This window comes from Homo sapiens, chromosome X (assembly GCF_000001405.40).
Source record: "Homo sapiens chromosome X, GRCh38.p14 Primary Assembly".
Classification (NCBI taxonomy): Eukaryota; Metazoa; Chordata; class Mammalia; order Primates; family Hominidae; genus Homo; species Homo sapiens.
Window position 1 is genome coordinate 113,391,156 of NC_000023.11, and position 24,394 is coordinate 113,415,549.

Below are 24,394 nucleotides of genomic sequence, written 5' to 3' on the forward strand. Positions count from 1 at the left end.
GCTATGGTTTGCTAGAGGTGTGGTTAAAGCACTCAGGGTCTTTCCTCCTTCTTCATTTCAAGGACGGCAAGGGAAGTACCACCGTAGTGGCAGTGGAAGAGGGGTTTTCGGTTGCCTCTGGGAGCTAAAATGCAGAGTCGCTGGTACTGGGAATGTTCAGCCACGGAGTGGGATGGCTGCACTGCTGGCCCAAGCTGGGAGACCTTCCTGGTAAAGGGTGAAAACTTTTCTCTATATGTCGACTGTGGCATGCTGGAAGCACAAGTGAAGCCCTCAGGCTCTTTATTTCTTCTCCATTTTGAGGGCAGCAGGAACAGAACCTCTGACATAGTGGCAGAAGGGCTGTCGTTTGCCTCTGGGAGCCCCTTTTTGGGGAAGCACAGAGATGCTAGCAGTGGGAATGCTCAGCTGGGTATAGGACAGCTGTTCCGTGTTCCCAAGACAGGGGCCCTGCCTGGTGAAAAGTGGAGGGTGGGGACTCACAGGGAAGAAAGACTGGATCCTCTCCATATGGTGACTGTGATGTGCTAGAGGTTCCAGCCCTTTGTTCCTTCCCCATCCTGAGGGCAGTAAGGGCAATACCACTGCAGCTGCAATGGCAGAGGGGCTGTAGGCTGTTTCTGGGATTTCCTCCTCAGAGAATCACAGAGCCGCCACTGACTGAAGTGTTTGGGTGGGGACAGGCTGGTTGTGCTGGAGGCCCGGGTCTAGAGGCACTGCCCAGTGAAGAACAGCAGAGGTGGAGACCTGTGTGGAAAACAGTCCCGCCACTTATAAGTATGGCTGAGGCGCTGTTCGGCACGAGGAGGGGGTCGGGGGTTGGGGCGGTCCTGTGTCACTCCCCAGCCGCTACGCTCTCTCCTGAGGGCAACAGGAGTCAGGAGTCATGGCTTTAGAGCAGTAAAATGGCGGCCTGCCCCTCCCTCTGGGCGCTCTGCCTCAGGGAAGTGCAGAGCTGCTACTGCCCTGAGAACCTAGGAGAGGAGTGGCTGGGGTGCCAGGTCGGGAGGCGCTGCCCAGTGATGAGTAGTGGGGTTGGGGACACACGTGGAAAAACTGGCTGCTTTTCCTTGAGATAGCTACACTGCTGAGCATCTGCATTAGTTCCTAATCACTGCACACCCTCCAGATCCTGAGGGCAACAGGAGAGAAGGTTGTGGAATAGCAAAAATGGCAGCCTGCCTCTCTCCCTGGGAGTTCCATCCCAGGGAACTGCAGAGCTGCTCTCGGCCAGAACTCAGGCTGGGATAGGGGGGCCTCACTAGCATCCCAGGCCGGTGGGCCTTATCCTGAAAGAGGCAGTGGAGGCAAGGCCTGCAGTCCATCACTGTTCAGCCCCTGGATTTGGCACCTTTCCTGGGGGCATGCTAGCCTCCTCTGTTGCCAGAGCTGCAGCCACTGGTGCCGAGGTGCCAGGGGATCCAATGCTCCCAGGACTCTGCATGTTCCTGAGCAGCAGCTTTGCCCAAACTCCACGTAGCCCTCTGTGCGGGTCTGGAGACCTCAGTAGAGGGAGTTCACGAGGGATCTCCTGAGCCCAGAGATGTAAAGGTCCATGGCAGTAGTGTGGGTCCCAGGGGACTCTGACTCATTCACCATTTCCCCGTGTTAGGGGACCTCCCCTGGCTCTGTGCCATCCTCAGGTGGGCAGTTGTCCTGTGTGGATATTTGTTTTCCATGAGTCGCATTGTTTCCTTGATAAATCTCAATGTGTCCACCTGGATGTTCCAGTTTAAGAGGTAATATTTACTCGCTGCTCTTTCTCCTCTCCTTGAGAGAGGTGCACATTAGCTGCTTCTAGTCAGCCATATTGGCCGTATGATAATAATCTTAAAATAACTACTGACTTGTGTGATAGAGGCTGATGTTTCTTCAGCAGATATGTGTCTCCTGGTTAACATGTGGTCAGTTATATTACTACCACTCCACTAACATTTTATGTAAGTTACATATTCTTTGTCAATGTTCTTGAGAAACAGAAACTCAGTATTTAATTTGCCATTAAGCATACACTTTCTTTTAATCATTGATGCTGAAAAGACTCATTGAAAAATTAAATGTGTTAATAGTAAGAAGATTAGTAAGCAGTTGAAATTTTACACCATGACAAAAAAAAAAAAAACCATGTAGCAAGAGTGTCAGAACACACACTCATCAGTACTCTACAGCAGGACTGCTTAAGATTTTGTAGCCAGGTGGCAAGATGTGTTCACAAATTTAGAGAAGGCTACTCTTCTGTCTCTTCCTGTCCTCGCACTGCTCTGTCACCTTGAAGATTTGTGGGATTAAGAACACCCTTAGTATTGTTGCTGGCATTCCTGTGTCAGAAATCTATCAGAAATGACAGATGTAAAGCTTCATGTAGCAGTTTTATAAATAAAAATAGCAAACAGTTTTTGAGTGTTTATTGTTTCAGGTAAAGTATATACTTTCTTTGACACTGATCTGTTAACTGAAAATAATAAAAACAGTTTCCCTACCTATAGTTTTACTACTAATAATAATAATAGTAATAATAATAAGCATATATTGAGTATGCATCAGACATTTTATGTGCATTAGTTTATTTAATTTCCTTTATTATTTTCATTTCCCTCTCTTCCTTCAGTTTCTGTTCCAACAACAGTAAATTTCCTCTTCCCCTTATAAAAACTTTCCACTGTGTATACAACACAATAAGCAGTTTACCTCCCTTTGTTCTGAAACAGATGGCATCTTTTCCCTGCACAGCCCCATTTAAAGATTTGGAACCTGAGGCGTAGGAAGATTAAATTACTTGTTTATGTGATGTGGTTAGGGAAGAGTAAGGATTATTTTACCCCAAGAGACAGGCTTCAGAGCCCACATGCTCAATTACTTAGCTAGACTCGTTCCTGACCTTAAGTGTCAATAATTGGAAGTTCCAATCAATGAAAATTGGAGTAAATAGGATAGGAAAATCAGTGGTGACCAAAGCTTCAAGACTGATTTTAAGCCTCCTGTGAGAACCATTTTGTGGGTTTTCAAAAATAATTGGAGGATACTTTGAGGAAATGTTGTTTCCTGATTGAGAAATCCTTTGTAATTTGAATATGAGTGTAAAGGGAATTTCATTTGTATCTACAGGTTGGAGAGGCTTGGGTTGGGTTGTATGGAAATTAATGGGTTTGGATAAGATGATTCCTAAATTTCCCATGTGAGCTAATTACTATTCTGTTTCTAAGACCTCTTAACATGGTACCACAAACATTGCATTTTAGTATTTCTGTTTGATTGATGCAAATAAAAGAACAGGTGATGTCCTAAAACCTGTATTCTATTTTGTTTCTAGTAGAAAATGACTTTCTAAAAGGTGCTTCATTTTTGATGATTCTGTTTTTGCATTCTGCATCTCCAGGCTGAGAAGAAGAGAATGTGTCACACAATATCATGTGGTGCATATTTAAACATAAAGCCAGGCTGTGGAGAATATGCCATGTGTTCCTGCTAATATGGGAAATTAGGTTCATCAGGAAAAAATCAAACGCCCACTGGGCATTCAGCACACTAACCAGGTTGTAACCTTTTGTTCCAGTTGATCCAGACAGCTGTGCTGGGAACCAACCAGGAACATTGGAGAAAGTACTGTTAAGATGCATTATACTCCTAATGATACAGGGCAGAGCTTTGCTAACCTAAGGCAATTTTAGGAGTTTGAGCAGGCTTTAACACTCTAAGCATTATGGGACAAAGAAAAACTGAATCACAATTTTTTAATAAGATACTATAATATAGAGAAAATGCACTACATGCCTATCAAAACCCAGCCCCTCCAAATGTGTTTGTTTAAGATCCTTTATCTTCATTTCTCAAAGATTTTGCTTTTCAATGATGCCCTCCCTCTCTGTGGCATTATCAACCTCTCACTTACTACTGGCTCATTCACGTAAGTGCACTGACATGCTCTATCAACTTAACAAAATAAGTACATTTCTCTTGACCCCACTTCTTCCTTCAGCTGTCATTCTATTATTTATCTGCTTTCTTTAATGACAAAATTTAATGACAAAATGGTATGTGTGGTTTCCATTTTCTCAGAATCAGTTTGCCTTGTTTTTTTATTATGAAATATTTTAGGTGCACAGAAACCTATAGGGAATAATATAGCATACATAACTATGCATCCACTCTGCAGCTTATCAAAGCTTAATATTGGACATTTGCTCCTTTTTAAAAGAGATAAAACCTAAGAGATGGATTTGAAGTCTGTGTATTAGTCTCTGATTCTATTCCATCCTTCATTTTAAAAAATCAAACAAAAATCAACAATTACTGTGGTTTAGTATAAGTATGCCCATGTTTTCCCCCTTATTTTTAGTACACATATATGTAGACAATGTGTGTGTGGGGATAGGTATGTGTATACAAACACACACACACACACACACACACACAATAATTAACCATTCTTGCGTGGTAGGAAAAATCTCCATACCTTATTTCCTTGTTTAAAATCATTTTGACATTCTTTTATTATTATTATTATTACTATTATTGTTTTTTCTCTAGTCTTTCAGATAGATTTTAGAATCAGCTTGCAAAGTTTCATCAAAAATCAGTTGGGATTTAGATGGAAAATACACCGCAATTACTGATTTACTTGGCAATAATTAGCATCATTAGCAACTGGAGTGTTTCTATTCATGAACATGACAGATTTCTATACATATTTGCATATCAATTTATGTCTTTTACTGAAGTTTTATAATTTATGCCGCAAATATATTGAATCTTTTAAAGGTATTTATTCCTAAGTATATTATAGCGTTTGTTGCAATAGTCAATTGCTTCTTGTAAAAAACTACATTTTATAATAATATTGGGGCTCAGAACACAATACTCTAAAGTATAGCACCTTGGTATGCTGAAAACTTTGAACTGAAGGGGATTGGAAGGGCCTCAGAAGTAAGGTCTCTCTAACCTTCTCCTCTCTGATCTTCTTCTGCCCTCCTGTCTCCTGATCCTTGTTTTTCTCCAAAGCTAGTCATAGTTATCAAAATTCCTCATCCCATGGCAGGTCATAGAAACTAGACCTCCTCTTCGCTAAAGCAAGCCCTAAAACCTAGAAGGTTACTCTCTTCCTTCTCCCTTAAAGACTCTAGTTCCAGAGACAGGGTTCTTGCCCCATACCTAGGAGGAACAAATTGTACACAGAGAGGCCAAGAAGAATCTCAACAGAGAAGCCTTGCTGGATCCGTTGCTCCTCTGTCTGTTACCATTAGATCATACCCTTTGTCCAATCACATTTCTGCATGGCTGTCTATTATTCATTGAACCTAAGTATAAAAATAGACAGTATTCCCTGGGTTTTGGGGTCTTCAATTCTGAAGGCTCCTGCATCACATAAAACTTTGTTAAATAAATTTGTTATGCTTTTCTCTTATTATCCTGTCTTTTGTTACAGGAAGGTTGTCAGTGACCCTCGTGATGGGTAATAGAAAAGGCATTATACCTTTTTCACCCCTAAAATTGTTTCTTAATGTTATTTAGGAATTCACTGATTTTTATTTTTAACTAAACTTTATACTTTGAGAAGTTTTAGTTTTATAGAAAAGTTGTGACTATAATATGGAGTTCCCATATATCCCACACAGTTTTCCCAATGTTGACATCTTACATTAGAATGGTACATTTGTTATAACTTGTGAAACTACATTGATATATTATTATTCACTAAAGTTCATACTTTATTCAAATCTCATTTACCTAATACCATTTTTTTCCATTTGAGGATCCAATTCAAGATACCACATTATATTTAGTCATCATGTCTCCTTGGCCTCCACTTAGCTATGACAGCTTCTTATACTTTCCTTGTTTTTGGTGGCCTTGGTAGCTTTGAGAATTACTGGTCAGGTATTTTGTAGAATGTCTCTGAATTAGGAGACATTATGTGAAGTTTTTCTCATGATTAGAATAGTGTTATGGGTTCTAGAAAGGAAGATCATAAAGGTAAAATGCCATTTACATTAAATAATATCAAGGGTATATACTATCAACCTCACTTATCACTGATGATGATGATGATATTGAACACCTGGCCAAGGCAGTGTTAGGTTTCTGTACTCTAATATTACATCACCCCCTCCCCGTACTTTCCATATTCTATTCTTTGAAAGGACGTTTCTATATGCAGATCTTCACTTAAGAAAAGTTATATTCTACTTCCTTAAAGGTGGAGTAGAACATAAATTATTTGGAATTCTACATATTGTCTCCTCTCATTTATTTATCTAATTATTTACTTATATCAGTATGAACTCATAGACATTGATTTTATTATTCAGTATATAATGAACACCACTGTATTTTACTGTTCAAATTTTTCCAGTTTTAACCATTGGAAGCTTTCTCAGCTGGTTCTTGTGTTCATGGGATGTACCCCCAACATTTTGGAATTTTTTTTATCACTTCCTTACTTTCTGATACTACAAGGTGCTCTAAGCTCATATATTTCTTGAACCAGCACTTCCATGGAAAACAACTTCCACTCATTTTCAAAGTTACATAAGTCAATAGTTGTTGTGAGGTTGTTTAATACATTTGGAATACAATAAGATTGTTTTGTCACATTCTGCATTCTATCCTGGTATCTCCTAGACCTCATACATAATTTTCAACATTTGTATACATTGAGGTTGACTCTGTTCTATAAAGCTTAATAAGTTTTGATAAATGCATATTGTCATGTGTTGACCATAACAGTATCATGCAGAATAATTTTACTACCTTGAAAAATTCCCCATGCTCCTACTATACAACACCTTTCCACACCTTCCCTGAGCTGGCAACCACTGTTGTTTTTACTGTCTCTATAATTTTGCGTTTCCCAGTATGTCATATAATTGGAATCATCCAGTTAATATCTTTTTCAGCTGGTTTCTTTCATGTAGCAATATTCATTTAAGATTCATGTATGTCTTTTTATGGCTTGATGGCTCATCTCTTTTTATTAGTATGTAACATTTCGTTGTATAAATGTAAAACAGTATGTTTATCCATTCATCTACTGAAGGACAACTTGCTTGCTTCTAGTTTTGGCGATTATGGATAAATCTGCTATAAACACTGACATTTTTGTGTGGACATGTTTTCAACTCATGATCATATGGCAAGGGTATGTTTAATTTTATAAGAAAGTGATAAACGGTTTTCTAAAGTGACTGTACCAATTTGGATTCCCATCAGCAATGAATGAGAGTTGTTGCTTCATATCTTTGTCAGCATTTGGTGTTATCGATGTGTTGGATTGTAACCGTTCTTTCTTTTTAAATTGATTTTGTGCACAGGAATTCTGTTTAACTCTTTTAATATTTGTGATAGTTTGCATTCCAATTTTTCTTTATTTCCTATATAAATAATTATATAACTGTATATAGACTGACAGTGGATGATGTTAGTTTTCTTTTTCCTTTTGGTCCTTATAAGTTTAATTTTTCTTTTATTATTGAACTTTCTAGTACTTCCATTTCAGTGGTAAATAGAAGTAGTGATAGTAAACATATTTTAAACTAAGGGTGTTTTTTAATGTTTAACAATTAGATATCATGTTTGTTGTGAGATCCTTATTGATACACTTTATTGGGTTAAAAAGTTTCCTTAATCTGTGGTTTGGTGAGTTATTTTAATCATGAAAAGATGTTTAATTTAATCAATTATTTGAATCTATTGGAACTGTAATATAATATTCTCCTTTAATCTGTTGATGTAGTAATTACAGGTAGTTTATTTTCTAATGGTAAACTATTCTTGAATGTCCAGTAGAAATTCAGTTTAACCATAAACCACTTTTTAAATACACTGCTGATCAGCTAATATCTTATTTAGAACTATTATTGCATCTATGTTTATAAAAGTGCTTGGCCTTAAATGTGCTTTTCTCTTACTACCCTTGTTAGATTTTGATGTAAACGATATATTGTCCTTACAAAAGTTTATTTGATGCTTTGCTATTTTGTCTATACTTCAAACTTTTGTAGAAGATTGATACTTTCTCTTATTTAAATATATAACACACCTATTAATATGTCTGGTAATAGTGGAGAAATATTTCTGGGCAGATTTTTAATTTATTGATTCAGTTTCTCTAATGCTTACTTGAATAGTTGGAATTTGAAAAAAATTAAAACTATTTTTGAAATTTATATTTTCTAGGAAATGTCCATTCAATCTAAATTTTCAAATTTAGTAACATAAAGGTTTTCATAATTCTCTATTATATGTAATCTGAAATCTATATATGCCTGTTCTTTTTATGTCTAGTATTTGTACACTAAATTTTGACAACACTTTGTCTATTTTATTATCTTTTCAAAGGATTAGCTTTTAGTTTTGTTAATTCTGTCGTCTCTTTTGTTTAATATTTTAAAAGTACCTGCAATATTTATCTTTATCTTTACTTTTACCAACTTTAGTTTCACTCTGTTGTTCTTTCTCTAACTTCTTGAGTTAGACACTGTAACAGAGAAAGCTAACTTTCCACCAAATATTTGAACTCTCATAGTGTGGACTTGCTGACATGTCCAACTAAGGACAACATTAACCTGTGACTCATATGCATAGTTTCCTCCAGTGGAATGTCAGAAGAATCGATGAGTTTAACTTTTGGTCCAAGTAGGTTAATTATCAGATACAGGGTCCACTATACACTTTCCTTTTGTGTGCTTTCCAATAGCAATTTTCTGACACCAACTGGCTGTTCTACAATTCAATTTAATTTTGACACTCAATAACCAGAGTTAGTGCAGATCACCCATGTTAAGGGGAAAGTCTTTCAACTCTGACACTAGCTACCCAGAGTTAGTGTAGATCCCACACGTTAAGGGGTCCCACAAGACTGTTTCCACTTCAGACTCCAGGTGCACGTTCCAGGTTCCCAGGTTACCTGCACTTCTGTCTGACTTGGCTAAAAATTCATTAGGTCCTACAACTCCCTTTCATGTTGTTTGATAATTTGCTAGAATGACTCACAGAACTCAGGAAAGTGCTACGTTTACAATTACTGGCTTATTATAAAGAATACAAACAAATGACTCAGTGAAGAGATCATAGGATGAGATACAGAAGAGTCCAGAACATAGGAGCTTCTGTTTCTGTGGAGTCTAGGTGTGTGCCCTCCCATTACATTGATATGTTCGCCAACGAGAAAACTCTTTGTGCCTCATTATTCAGAGTTTTCCTAGTCCCTCTCCCATACTCAAAGGTTGAGGGTGGAGCTGAAAGTTTCAGCCTTTTAATATCACATGGTTTTTTTTCCTCTGGCAGTCAGCTGCCATCCTGATGCCATCTAGTGCTCCCCAGCATGAGTCAGCTCATTAGCATTAACTTAGGTATAATCAAAAGGAACTTCTATGAATAACAATAGACCCTCTTATCCTTCAGGAAATTCCAAGGATTTTAGGAGTTCTATGTGAGGGACCTAGGACAAAAATCAAATACATTTTTGGAATACCTTACTTTGTCTACAGGCTGAATGAACATTGAAATTACTATGTTAACATTTCAAGGTGATGAAACCACAGGGTGGAATTAGCTGAGATCCAGAGTCATCTCCTTGAGGACAACTGTCTAAATTGATTATATGGTCATGTGAGTGAGAAATAAAAACTTAATTTTGTCAAGGAATTTTGATGTGAGCACTGTGACAGCACATTATTTTTTCTGCCTTTTTTGTCTGTCTAAAAGGAAAAATTTTGACTAAATTGAAGAATCTAAAGACAGAATTTGGGGTAAACATGTAACCATAATAGGTTCATTGACTGATGCATGTGGCAAGTCAATACGCTGAGACACTGGGTTATAGCATAGAAAAAGATTTAACCATAGGGTCACAGAACAAGGAGATGGGAGGGAACCTCAAATCAATCTCCCCAAGGAGTTTGGGGCTAGGGCTCTTAAAGGTTTTGAAATGGGTGCAAATGTGGATATCGTTGATTGGTCAAGAGTGCAGGTGAAGTCACGGGACAGGGAGATGAAGAAACTATATTAATTATTCCAATTCTGTTCCTTTGTAAGAGTCTTCTAGCTGGTTGGCATCAGCTGTTTCACTGATATTTGGAATCTGAAAAATAATTTAAATTCTTAAACAAAAGTATTGTGATTCTAATGTCAGAAATCCTGTCTATAGGAACAATGTAGGTGCAAATATTCAGTATCTATCTAGTGACTTTTGGTTATAAGGAAGTAGATTAAAGTGCAGCCTGATTAATGCTTAATTGTAACTATACTTCTGTCCAGAATTATTGTTTACCCTGTGAGGATGGCTTCAAATGCAGCAAAAAGAAAGCAAGGAGGGAAACCCAAGAAAATGGAGAGCCACAGAGGAAAAGGCCTACAGTTTGCATAAAATAAGCATTATAAATGTGTATGTTTCTAAAAACAGCCTCCAAATATACAAGGCACAATTGACAAAATTATTAGTTGGTGTGTGGTGGCATGCACCTGTAGTCCCAGCTACTCAGGAGGCTGAGGCAGGAGGATCTCTTGAATCCAGGAATTTGAGGCTGTGGTGAGTCGATTGTGCCAGTGCACTGTGGCCCAGGCAACAGAGCAAGACCCTATCCCCAGAGAAAAAAAAAAAATGACAAAATTAAAGGAGACATAGACAAATCTTCAAACTTTGTTGGATATTTAAAAACCTCTCTTTAGTTGACATGAGTAGTCCAAAGGTGAATAAAGTCATGGAAGAACTAAAAACACTATAAACTATCTTGACCTAATTAATATTTATACATTACACTCTAAAACTGAAAGACACATTCTTTACAAGTATGTATGGCATGTTCCCCAATATAGACAATATGACTGGTGTCAGGCCTCCGAGCCCAAGCTAAGCCATCGCATCCCCGGTGACTTGCACGTATATGCCCAGATGGCCTGAAGTAACTGAAGAATCACAAAAGAAGTGAAAATGCCCTGCTCTGCCTTAACTGATGACATTCCACCACAAAAGAAGTGAAAATGGCCGGTCCTTGCCTTAACTGATGACATTGTCTTGTGAAATTCCTTCTCCTGGCTCATCCTGGCTCAAAAGCTCTCCTACTGAGCACCTTGTGACCCACCACTCCTGCCTGCCAGAGAACAACCTCCCTTTGACTGTAATTTTCCTTTACCTACCCAAATCTTATAAAACAGCCCCACCCCTATCTCCCTTCACTGACTCTCTTTTCGGACTCAGCCCGCCTGCACCCAGGTGAAATAAACAGCCACGTTGCTCACACAAAGCCTGTTTGGTGGTCTTTTCACATGGACGCGAGTGAAAACTGGCTATTAAGCAAGTTGTAATACATTTTTAAGGTTTGACACCATACAGAATGTAATGTAGTTTAACATGATGGAATTACATTAGAAATTTATAACAATATGAAATCCAGAAAATCTCAAATGTTTGAAAATTAACTGATATACCTCTAAGCATTTCATGGGTCAAAGAATTGTTGTATATGTTCTTTCCATTTTAATTCAGTTATAAAGATTTCTAATATCTATTATCACATATTTTTGGGTCCTGGAGATGTTTAGAAGTAGTTTCTAAAACTTCCAAATAGGCAAGCTTAATTTTTTAGGTATCTTTTTGCCCTTGCGATATGGTTTGGCTGTGTGTCCCCACTCAAGTCTCATCTCAAATTGTAATCACCATAATCCCCATGTGTCGAGGGCGGGACCTGGTGGGAGGTGATTGCAGCATGTGGGCTGTTGCCCCCATGCTGTTCTTGTGATAGTGAGTGAGTTCTCACTATCTCATCTGACGGTTTTTTAAGCCTCTGGCATTTCCTCTGCTCACACGTCTCTCTCCTGCTGCCATGTGAATAAGGTTCTTGCTTCCACTTTGCCTTCTGCATGATTGTAAGTTTCCTGAGGCTTCCCCAGCCATGCAGAACTGTGAGTCAATTAAACCTCTTTTCTTTATAAATTACCCAGTTTCAGGCAGTTATTTATAGCAGTGTGAGAAAGGACTAATACAGTTAATTGGTACAGAGTTAGTGGGGCACTGCTATAAAGATACTTGAAAATGTGGAAGCAACTTTGGAACTGTGTAACAAACAGTCAGAGGTTGAAACAGTTTGGAGAGCTCAGAAGAAGAGAGGAAGATGTGGGAAAGTTTGGAACTTCCCAGAAAGTTGTTGAATAGTTTTGACCAAAATGCTGATAGTAATGTGGACAATGAAGTCCAGGCTGAGGTGGTCTCACATGAAGATGAGGAACTTATTGGTAACTGGAGCAAAGGTCACACTTGCTATGCTTTAGCAAAGAGACTGGTGGCATTTTGCTCCTGCCCTAGAGATCTGTGGAACTTTGAACTTGAGAGAGATGATTTAGGATATCCGGTGGAAGAAGTTTCTAAGAAACAAAGCATTCAAAACCTGACCTGGATTATTCTGAAAACATTCAGTTTTATGCATTCACAAAGAGATGGTTTGAAATTGGAACTTACATTTAAAAGGGAAGTAGTGCATAAAACTGGAAAATTTGCAGCCTGACAATGCAATAGATAAGAAAAACCTGTTTTCTGGGGAGAAATTTAAGCCAGCTGCAGAAATTTGCATAAGTAACAAGGAGCCAAATGTTAATGGGGAAAATGTCTCCAGGGCACATCAAAAATCTTGATGGCAGCCCCTCCCATCACAGGCCCAGAGGCTTAGGAGGAAAAATGTTTTCCTGGGCCAGGCCCAGGGACCCTGCTGTTCTGTGCAGCCTCAGGACATGGCACTTGCATCTCAGCCACTTCAACACCAGTGGTGGCTAAAAGGGGCCAAGGTACAGCTCAGGCCATTGCTTCAGAGGGTGCAAGCCCCTAGCCTTGGTGGCTTCCATGTGGTGTTCAGCCTGCGGGTGCACAGAAGTCAAGAATTGAGGTTTGGGAATGTCTGCCTAGATTTCAAAGGATGTATGGACATGCCTGTATGTCCAGGCAGAAATCTTCTACAGGGGCAGAGTCCTCATGGAGAATCTCTGCTAGTGCAGTGCAAAAGGGAAATATGAGGTTGGGGCCCCCACACAGAGTCCCTACTGGGGCACTGCCTAGTGGAGCTGTGAGAGGAAGGCCACCATTCTCCAGACCATAGAATGGTAGATCCACCGACAGCTTGCACCCTTGCCTGGGAAAGCTGCAGGCACTGCCAGCCCATGAAGGAGCTTCTTAAGGCCATGGGAGCCCACCCCTTGTGTCAGTGTTCCCTGAATGTGAAACATGGAGTCAAAGGGAATCATTTCGGAGCTTTAAGATTTAATGACTTCCTTGTTGGATTTTGGACTTGCATGGGGCCTATAGCCCCTTTGTTTTGACCAGTTTCTCCCATTTGGAATAGAATATTTATCCAATGCCTCTACCTCCATTGTATCTTGGATATAACTAAGTAGCTTTTGATCTTACAGGCTTCTAGGTGAAAGAGACTTGCCTTGTCTCAGATGAGACTTTGGACTTGGACTTTGGGTTAATGCTGAAATGAGTTAAGACATTGGGGGGCTGTTGGGAAAGCATTATTGGTTTTGAAATGTATAAAGGACATGACATTTGGGAGGGACTGGGGCAGAGTGATATGCTTTGGCTCTCTGTCTCCATCAAAATCTCATCTCAAATTGTAATCACCATAATCCCCAAGTAAGTGTCAAGGGTGGGATGATTATATCATGGGGAAGGTTTCCCCCAGGCTGCTCTCATGACAGTGAATGAGTTCTCACAAGATTTGATGGTTTCATAAGGGTCTGGCATTTCCCCTGCTTGTACTTCTCTCACCTGCTGCCATGCAAAGAACGTTCTTGCTTCCCCTTCACCTTCTGCCATGATTGTAAGTTTCCTGAGGCCTCCCCAGCCATGCAGCACTGTGTCAATTGAACCTCTTTTCTTTATAAATTACCCAGTCTCCGGCACTTCTTTATAGAAGTGTGAGAATGGACTAATATACCTTGGTTTATAATTATATTCTATGGGGCACAGAGAGTATGGTCTGTATCATATACTACTTTATACTATATGGGATATGCTTTATACTATATTAGGATATGCTTTTGCATCCCACACATGTTGAATTTTCACAAGTGTCCCCTATGTGCTTGAAAGAATGTGTCTTCATAAATTAAATTTGCCAAATTCTATGTACGGACAAGGAAATATTTTATGTATGTTTTTCTAATATTCTATATGCTTACTAAATGTGTGTTAATGTTAACTTTTCTTTCAATGTGGTACATATATAAATTTCTCCTATCTTGTTAACTTTTGCTTCATATTTTGGACTATACTATTGGATATGTATGAACTCAATGTTACTGTAGCTTCTAAAACTTTTATCTTTAATAATTCATAGTGTTCCAAGAATACAAACACATAAATTAGGGAAAGGACACCCTCTTCAATAAATGGTGCTGAGAAAACTGGCAAGCCGCATATAGAAGAATGAAACTGGATCCTCATCTCTCACCTTATGCAACAATCAACTCAAGATGGATAAAAGGCTTGAATATAAGACCCGAAACCATAAAAATTATAGAAGTTAACATCAGAAAAGCTCTTCTGGACACTGGGACACTGGCTTAGGCAAAGAATTCATGACTAAGACCCCAACAGCAAATGTAACAAAACAAAAATAAATAAATGGAACCTAATTAAACTATTATAAAAAGCTTCTGCACAGCAAAAGGAAGAATCAGCAGAGTAAACAGACAACCCACAGAGTGGAAGGAAGTATTCACAAACTATGCATCTAACAAAAGACTGGTATCCAGTATCTACAAGGAACTCAAATCAGCAAGAAAAAGAACAATCCCATCAAAAAGTGGGCAAAGGACATGAATAGACAATTCTCTAAAGAAGATATCGAAACAGCCAACAAATTTATGAAAAAATGCTCAATATCACTAATCATCAGGAAAATGCAAATTAAAATCACAATAAAATATCATCTTACTCCTCCAAGAATGGCCATAATTAAAAAGTCAAAAAATAGATCTTGGCGTGGATGTGGTGAAAAGGGAACACTAGTAACTAAACTGGTAAACTAGTTTTACTAGTACAACCACTGGGTTGTACTAGTTACTTCCAAGATACAATGGAGGTACAGGCCTTGGATAAATACTCTATTCCAAATGGGAGAAACTGTCCAAAGCAAAGGGGCTACAGGCCCCATACAAGTCTGAAATCCAACAAGGAAGTCATTAAATATTAAAGCTCCAAAATGATTCCCTTTGACTCCATGTTTCACATTCAGGGAACACTGATGCAAGGGGTGGGCTCTCATGGCCATGCAAAGTGGTTGTAAACCAGTACAACCACTATGGAAATGCCTTAAATAACTAAAAGCAGATCTACCATTTGATCCAGCAATCTGACTACTTGGTATCTACACAAAGGAAAAGAAGTCATTATATGAAAAAGAAAGACATATGCACACACATGTTTATAGCAGCACAATTTACAATTGCAAAAACATGGAACCACCCTAAGTTAAGTGCCCACTGACCAATGAGTGGATAAAGAAAATGTGATATGTAGACACCATAGAATACTATTCAGCAATATAAAGGAATGAAATAATGTCTTTGGAGGAACTTGGATGGAGCTGGAGGCCATTATTCTAAATGAAGTAACTCAGGAATGGAAAGCCAAATATCATATGTCTTCACTTAAGTGGTGGCTAAACTCTGAGGATGCAAAGGCATAAGAGTGATATAATAGACTTTGGGAACTTGATGGGGGAAGCTAGTAGTGGGGTGAGGGAAAGACTACAAATTGGGTACAGTGTACACTGCTCGGGTGATGGGTACACTAAGATCTCAGAAGTCTCCACTAAAGAACTCATTCATGTAACCAAAAACCACCTGTATCCCCCAAAACTATTGAAATAAAATAATAACAATAAATAATAATTTACAGTATGCCTAATGTAAATTCTAATAATGCCACCTCCTCTAAGGTTTATTTATTTGGTCTGATATTAATACAGACACATCACTATATTATTTGTTTACTATTTACTGGGCTTATCTTTTACATTTCTTTCAATCTTGCTCTCACCTATGTTTCAGGGTGTCTCTTACGGACAGCATTAAGCTAGATTCTTTTTAGACCGATCTGCCAATCTGTTAACTGGTGAATTAGGTCCATTTATATATGACTTGATTACCGATAAATTTTTATTCAGTTCTATATCTTCCTATAGACCTCGTATTTTTTTTTTTTGCCTCTCTTTCCCTGCTCTCTCTTGTATTAATCATGTTCTTCCTCTTTCCTTGTGTTTCCTACTGATTTGGAAGTTATACATTCTGTTTCTGATAGTGATATCAAGGGCACTCAACTACCTCTAAGTTTCCTCCCCAAAATAAAATATATGACAATAATCTCTCTCTTCTTACACGTTATTCTTAAATACTTTTTTCTCTACCTTATTTAATACCTACATATTTGTATCTATTATTTTTCAAATTATTGTTTTATATAGGGAATACTTATTTAGACATGTTTATGTGTGAAGTTTCTTATATGTCTTCCTTATAAAAAGCTTATACACAGCAAAAGGAATAATCAGCAGAGTAAATGCACAACACACGGAGTGGGAGAAAGTGTTCACAAACTATGCATCCAACAAAGGAATAGTATCCAGAATCTACAAGGAACTCAAATCAGCAAGAAAAAAAAAACAAGTAATCCCATTAAAAAGTGGGCAAAGGACACTTTCTGCCTTTCTGAAGTATACATTTTAACAATTTTTTTTAGTAAGAAAGAAAGAAATTATTGGTGATAAACCCTTCCAGACTTTTACTGGGATTGCATTTAATTCTTACACTAGACTGATAATTTAAATGAGTCTAGAATTATATATTAATATTCATTTATCACCATCAGCCCCATTGCCTTAGTTTTTCAGGTCTCTGTTCAAATTTCACCTTATCAGTGAGAGCTTCCCTAACCACTTTATTTAAACAGCATGTTTCCACCACACCCCACAGTGTTTTCAGTCTCCTAAATTAGGCCTTATTACCACCAGCATCTTTTGTATTTCTTAATTCTTTACTGTCTATCTTTTTCCCACTAGCATGTAATATTCTTGCAGAACTGTACTTTGTTTTGTTGACTCCTACATTCCTAAAAACCAAGAATAGTGCTGGGCACATAGTAGGAAATCTATACACAGTTGTTGAATGAACGACTGAGTTCTGCTTGTGCTATTGAGAAGTATACTGTCAGTCCAACTTTCATTCTTTTTCTTTCTGGTTGCTTTTTAAATCTCTGTCTTTGGTGCTTTGCATTTTAGTTATGACTTGCCTCTAACATATAGCTTTCCTATAACTCTTTACTCTCCTATAACTAACTTTCTTTTCTCTCTCTCTCTCTCTCCCTTCCCTCCCCTCCCCTCCTCTTTCCTTCCCTTCCCTTCCTCTTCTTTATTTCTTGGACTTTTATGACCCCTGAATATGAGCATACCTATCTTATTGAATTCTGGAAATATCTCACTATTATTTCTTCTAAATATCATTTTTTCCCATTCTTCATTTCTTCTTGAAATCCTATAAGATGAACACCAGATCTAATAATTCATTTCTTGGTGTCACTTAATGCCTTTTTAATACATTCTATTAACTTATCTCTGTAGTGAATTTTGGCAATTACCTAAGAATGGAATGTTTTCCATTCCCTGAATTCTCTGTGTCTAATTTGTTGCTTGCACAATCTATCTTTATTTGTGCGCTGATCATTGTGTACTTTTTCATTTTAGAAAATTTAATTTATTTAAAGATGTCCCACTTTTACATAGTGGTGTCTTTTTTATTACATTTTTATTTATATTTTCTTAATTCTTTAAAGAATACTGTTTTGTAATTTCTATAATATTGTTCTTGAGAGTCTGATTCTGCTGTTTGTTATGTCACGTGACTCTTCATGATGGATGATTTTCTTAATCGTTATATACTTTTTCATTCTAATCTCATATCTAGTAGGTAGTTTTCTGTGCTAACCCTTTGTTAAATGAATTGAGAGTGTGATCCCAGAGTGTTTTTGTTTGTGTGTCTTACAAGTGTCCTATAGTTATCATGGGGCATAGGTTGTACTAATATTCCAACTTAGGAATTCTTGTGTCATGTATATAATATATATTTTGACCTCCAAACCACATATGTAGGCCCATGTTCTCAAACTCTCAAAGACCAACAAGATTCCTTGTTGTTTTCTTCTGATATTGAGTGGATTTTCCCTATTTCAGCCTTTCACTGAGGTTATGACCTTTGATATTTACAATCAGAACCTCCTAAACTTTTTACATCATGTTGCACTTACTTAGAAAACTAAAACATTTCTAAGGTACACTAAGGTAAGTCCCACTACACTCTGGTTAAGAAACTCTGTTCTCAGTTCATACAGAGGTCTCTGTTCTAATTTATTACTTTTGAATGAACAAACCCTGTTTTTTTGTCATATGATGCCATTAAAACCCTCAAACTCTGGCCAGGTGCCGTGGCTCATGCCTGTAATCCCATCACTTTGGGAGGCTGAGGCAGGTGGATCATGAGGTTGAGAGCTCGAGACCATCCTGGCCAACATGGTGAAACCCTGTCTCTACTAAAAATACAAAAATTAGCTGGGTGTGGTGGTGCACACCTGTAGTTCCAACTACTCAGGAGGCTGAGGTGGAAGAATCACTTGAACTCAGGAGGCGGAGGTTGCAGTGAGCCGAGATTGCACCACTGCACTCCAGCCTGGCGACAGAGCAAGACTCTGTCTCAAACAAAACAAAACAAAACAAAAAACCCCTTCAAACTCTATTGGTATTGTAACCCACATTCCTCCTCCTCCCCACCCTCACCATCCAAGGGTGGCTGCTGTGTTACTTATGTGCTTAGATTCTGATTATCAATTCATTTTGTTTTGGCATTGTTATTGTTGTTCCTTGGTCCTTTCTGTTTCCTTTAAGCCCAATCATGTATGTAAAATAAGAATTTATTTGGCATTTCCATGTACTTGCAATGTGAACGTTTTGGGTTAATCTTATTTAAAATTGATGCTACAATAAAGTATTCCTTCTTCTTCAACCTGTTCTAATCTTGTCCCATCAATATCATTCCATTATAACTGCTTTTACAAAGTGTAACAATTGGTTAGACTAGGTTATGCTGCAGTAACAAACAATTCTGAAATTTTAGGGCTTGCCTACAACAAACATGTTTTTCTTTTCTTTTTTTTTTTTTGCACATTACATGTTGGTTGCATGACAGCTGAGATTCTGCATCATGTCCTCTTCATTCCAAGAATTAAGCTAAGTGAAACACCTATCTGGAATATGGTTATTCCTGTGGTAGAAGAAAAGGAGGAGGTATATGCTTCTGCTCACACCTATGACGTGAGAATATTTAATTCCCCACGCTATAGGGAAGAGACATAGAAGGTACTGTAATGAAAAACAAACAGCTAATATTTGGAACAACTTAATATCCCACACTCTAAAACACTAGATTATAAATGATCTCTGTTGTTAGTTCCCATAGATACACTTTAGACCTCCTTTTTCTCAGTTTATCACCATTATTTGATACAGGGCATGGCTCCCTATGTCTCAAAGCAGTTTATATACATGGCTTTGCTCGGTACCTACTTTTCTGTTTTTACTCTAGTAATCAAAGTATATGTGATATAACTGGTAGAATCTAACACTTTAAAGATGACCACATTTAAAAATTATTTTATATTAAACAAAACATAAACTTATCTTCATCATTCTAAGAAAACACATACATACTCAATTCTCTCTTTTAATGTTTGATCAATGAATTGAAAATAAGCAGCTGTCATGTTAATAATATCATTCTCACTAATGCCTGACTTTTTAAAAATGTATTTATTTTAGATAAATTTGGAAATGTATGTATTTAGAGACATTTATTTTAAAATGTATTTATTTATTTACCATGGGAACTGAAACTTTTCAAAGTGCTTAGCCCTATGTTAAAAGTGGTGTGAATCATCTCAATTCATCTCATTTATCCTTTTAATTTAATAACAGGCCTTATATTAATAGCGTATTTGAAACCATCACTTAAAATGTTTGTTTGCTTCTGCTTCTCCAGTAAGCATAAGCTCAAGGTGAGATTAAACCATTTCATTATTGTAATAAATACAGCTTTGGAAAAGTTGAAAGCACCAGGTTATGTACCTTATTTGACCAGGTATACAACATAGTTCTTTCAAAATGCATTTGTGTAAACTCATGCATTCAGGGTTTACAAGACTTATAAAATAGTATAATTTGGCATAGTTTAATCACATTAATACAAGTTGCCTTAGTCCATTTTATATTGTTATAAAGGAATAGTTGAGGCTGGGTAACTAATAAAGAGGTTTATTTAGCTCACAGTTCTGTAGGCTGTACAAGAGGCATGGCACCCATGTCTGCTTGGCTTCTGGTGAGAGCCTTTTTGCTGCTCAAAACATGGCAGAAAAGGTCAAAGGAGAAGCAGGCACATGTGAAGAGGACCCAAACCCGGATGTTTCCTGGCTTTATAACAACCCACTCTCAAAAGAACTATTTCATTCCCATAAGAACCAACCCCATCTTGTGAGAGCAAAAACTCAGTTACTACCAAGAGAATGGCACCAAACCATTCATGTGGGATTCACTCCCATTACCCTAACACCTCCCACTTATCCCTGCTTCTCAACACCACCACACTGGGTACGAAATTTCAACATGAAATTTGGTGGGGACAAACACACCATATCCAAACCATAGCATAACCTTAATTTTTTTAAGTTATGTTTTGTTAAATGAATAATTGATTGTTGAAGATTCTGACATCTCAGAGAACTTCTCTGGAATATCAACAACCACATACTCGTTGATATTTTAAGACTGAAAACATTACTTCTCAGAAAGATATGGGCTAGATACCCTTGAAATCAAATTATCACCATTACCAATTAGAACAAGTTTTATTCTCTTTCTTCTCTGTGTTCCATATCCCCAAAATAAAGGAGTTCGATTAGATGATCTTCAAAGCCTTTTCCAGAAGCTTCTGCTTTTACTTGCTATAAATGTCCAATGACATTTATCATTACTTTTGGAAAGCTAAGTCATAGTTGGTTATGAATGGAGCCATTGTCCTTCCCAAATGATATGTCCCAGATTTCCTTTCTTTCAGTCACTCCCTGGTGGTCAAACTCCATGGGAACAGTATTATCATTGTGGTCTGAAAATGCTTTTCAATTGCCTAATTTACAACCAGTAACTGGGCTTTGGAGAAGGAAGCACTCTCTTCCTAAATATGCTAGTTTTATACATTTAAAAAACTTAACCCATAATGCATATGAAACATAGAAGAGTATCATCAGATGGGTACTAAACTGAATGTCAGGGAGCCTAGTTCTAGTTCTGCCACTGAACTATGTAACTCAACCAAGGCAATAACTGCCATTAAATTGGTGGGGTACCTTATTTCAGAAGTCTTTATTTAGTTCTAAAATTTTACATAAAATATGTCACAATTTGCTCTCATCTTTATGTTGGCAAAGTCAAGAAAAAAAGTCGGAAAGGTTAAATTTAACGAAAGGTTAAATTTAATGAAAGGTTTGGACACTTTTAGGCTTCTATGGCACTTACTTACATTTCCGGCCTTCTGGGATTTTTGAGACCCTACATTTCATACATGCTTAGTTCACTTAACCCCCTGGGACTTTCAAACAAACATTTTATATGTTCACTAGGAAAGACTTTTCATTTCATTTTAGAGTTTTTGGTTGATTTACATTGACTTAGATCTTCTTTTATTTTTGTTTAGACTTTATAATAAACTGTTCAGATTGCTTTTGATTAGTATAATCCATAAATTTTATCTGAATCTTGTAAGCAAGTTTAGACCAGCTGGAAACTGATTGATTAGATTTTAACATTCTGCTTCTCTCACAGCTGCCTGTGACAGGGGCACAGCATTAATTATGATTAGTGATGAGATGAAGGTAGAGAATTGTTAGGAAAATGTCAGACATTGTGAGGATGCCTGATAGAGATATTTCTTGTTGAAGCTTGAAAATAAGAAATGTCAAGAAATGTAGTGATGAACAAATTAAGATATTATATGTATGTATATATTACATATAATGGCACCTTTAAGACCTAGATCATACTAACCACTCACATTGGATGAGAAGTTGCATATTCATATAGCAATACCTCTACTTGGTGCAACTTCCAGGAAAGCTGTTTTTGAAATTGACTATAAACTTTAGGAAATGATTACTAGTGGACGTCATTATTCTTATTGGCAATGAAGTTGTTAATGTTGCCATTCCTGTCTATATTTAAATTCCAGGAGGTTAAAATTTAGCTGGTATTTGTTGAATTATTATTTTCTTATTTCCAACTATTCCTAAGCTATGCAAAGGTTCTCTTTCAGTATTTGTAATATGCTCATATAAAAAAAGCTACAGAGGTAGAGTATGTATTTATGTAAACAAATAGGCTTGGCTGTCTTGCTATAGGGAAGTTTGAATGTTCATAAGCATTTGAATGTTCATAAGCATTTCACTTTTTTTTCCTTTTTTTTTTTTTTGAGACGGAGTCTCGCCCTGTTACCAGGCTGGAGTGCAGTGGCGTGATCTCGGCTCACTGCAACCTCTGCCTCCCAGGTTCAAGCAATTCTCCTGCCTCAGCCTCCCGAGTTGCTGGGACTACAGGTGCCCGCCATCACACCTGGCTAATTTTTGTATTTTTAAGAGAGACGGGGTTTCACCATATTGGCCAGGTTGGTCTCGAACTCCTGACCTTGTGATCCACCTGCCTCAGCCTCCCAAAGTGCTGGGATTACAGGTGCAAGCCACCGCGCCCGGCCAAGCATTTCACTTCTTTTTTTTTTTGAAACGGAGTCTGGCTCTGTCGCCCAGGCTGGAGTGCAGTGGTGCCATCTTGGCTCACTGCAAGCTCCGCCTCCCGGGTTCACACCATTCTCCTGCCTCAGCCTCCCGAGTAGCTGGGACTACAGGCGCCCGCCACCGTGCCAGGCTAATTTTTTGTATTTTTAGTAGAGAAGGGGTTTACCATGGTCTGGATCTCCTGACCTCGTGATCCACCCACCTCAGCCTCCCAAAGTGCTGGGATTACAGGTGTGAGCCACTGCGCCCGGTGCGTTTCACTTCTTAATAAAATCAGGAAGCAGTAGTGTATAGTAATGACTAGCTCTGATGTTGAAGTGCTTAGGTTCTAATCTTACTTTTGTTATATACTGGCTATGTGACCTTCACAAATTGTCAATTTTTTTTTCCTGATATCAGTTTTCCATTCTGCAAAATGAACACTCTAATGCAAGATTTACCGATTAGGGTCATTGGAAATAAATGAGTAAATGAGGCAAGATGGCAGAATGGAAGTTTCCACCAATTGTCCCCCCACAGGGAAACCAATTCAACAGGTATCGATACATAAAGGCACCCTCATAAGAACAAAAATCCCACTCTAGAATCTGAGGGTGGGAATTAAGAGCTTGAAAATCATATAGTCCAAATATCCATATGACATTTGAGTCTGTTCTGTGACATAACTGTCAAGTAGATTTGCCTGTGCAAATCACTCTAGTGATTGGGAAGTCCCTATTGACCCAGTCTATTCAGAGGATTTAGAATCGTACTAAAGCCAGGTGAACACTCACAGTACCTGGTTTAAACTTCATATCACTAAAAGTGGCATGGAAGAGGTAGCAAAACAAAGTATTGAATCAAAGATGCCACCCCTCCCCTATATGCCCTGGCAGCAGTAGCGTGGTGCAGATGGTGTTTTTGTGTGTTGTGGAGAGGGAGATCACATCATTTTTGAGGCAATGAACTCAGTGCTGCCCTAGTATAACAGAAAACAAAACCAGATCAAACTCAGCTGATGCCTGCCCACAGAGGGAGCATTTAAACCAGACCTAGCCGGAGGTAAATCACTGATCCCAGCAGTTCAAACTTGAGTTTTCACAAGCCTTGCCACTGAGGACTAAAGGGCTCAGGGGCACAAAATACACTTGAAAGGCAGTCTAGACCACAAGGACTGCAGCTCCTAGGTAAGTTCTAGTGCTGAAATGGGTCCAGAGACAGTGGACTGGAGGGGAGGGGCACATTACCTACTGGGACACTAGCTCGGGTGGTGAAGGGAGTGCTGGCATGACTTCTCCTCTAACCCCAGGCTTCACAGCTCATGGCTAAAAAAGAGTTCCCTTCCCTCTACTTGAGGAGAGGGAGGAAAGAGTGGGAGGACTTTGCCTTGCATCTTGGATACTGCTCAGCCACAGCAAAATAGGGCACTAGTCAGAGTTATGAGGCCCTATTTCCAGGTCCTAGCTCCAAGATAACATTTCTAGACACCCTTAGGCCAGAAGGGAACCCATTGCCTTGAAGAAAAGAACCTAGTCCTAGCAATAT

General features: G+C 38.3%; 1 long non-coding RNA gene across 1 annotated transcript in view, besides 2 other annotated features; it reads left to right on the forward strand.

The window, feature by feature from the left end:
* The window catches only part of LOC101928437 (uncharacterized), a 477,888-nt gene that overhangs the window by 348,429 nt on the left and 105,065 nt on the right, over nucleotides 1–24,394 (forward strand). The window lies entirely within an intron of this gene.
* Nucleotides 9,971–10,772: an enhancer, noted in NCBI's record as "OCT4-NANOG-H3K27ac hESC enhancer chrX:112644353-112645154 (GRCh37/hg19 assembly coordinates)". NCBI's record gives its function as "activates a minimal SCP1, AML or CMV promoter by ChIP-STARR-seq in naive H9 embryonic stem cells {active_cell/tissue: H9 hESC(naive)}" and the evidence as "EXISTENCE:reporter gene assay evidence [ECO:0000049][PMID:30033119]".
* Nucleotides 12,467–12,968: an enhancer, noted in NCBI's record as "H3K27ac hESC enhancer chrX:112646849-112647350 (GRCh37/hg19 assembly coordinates)". NCBI's record gives its function as "activates a minimal SCP1, AML or CMV promoter by ChIP-STARR-seq in primed H9 embryonic stem cells {active_cell/tissue: H9 hESC(primed)}" and the evidence as "EXISTENCE:reporter gene assay evidence [ECO:0000049][PMID:30033119]".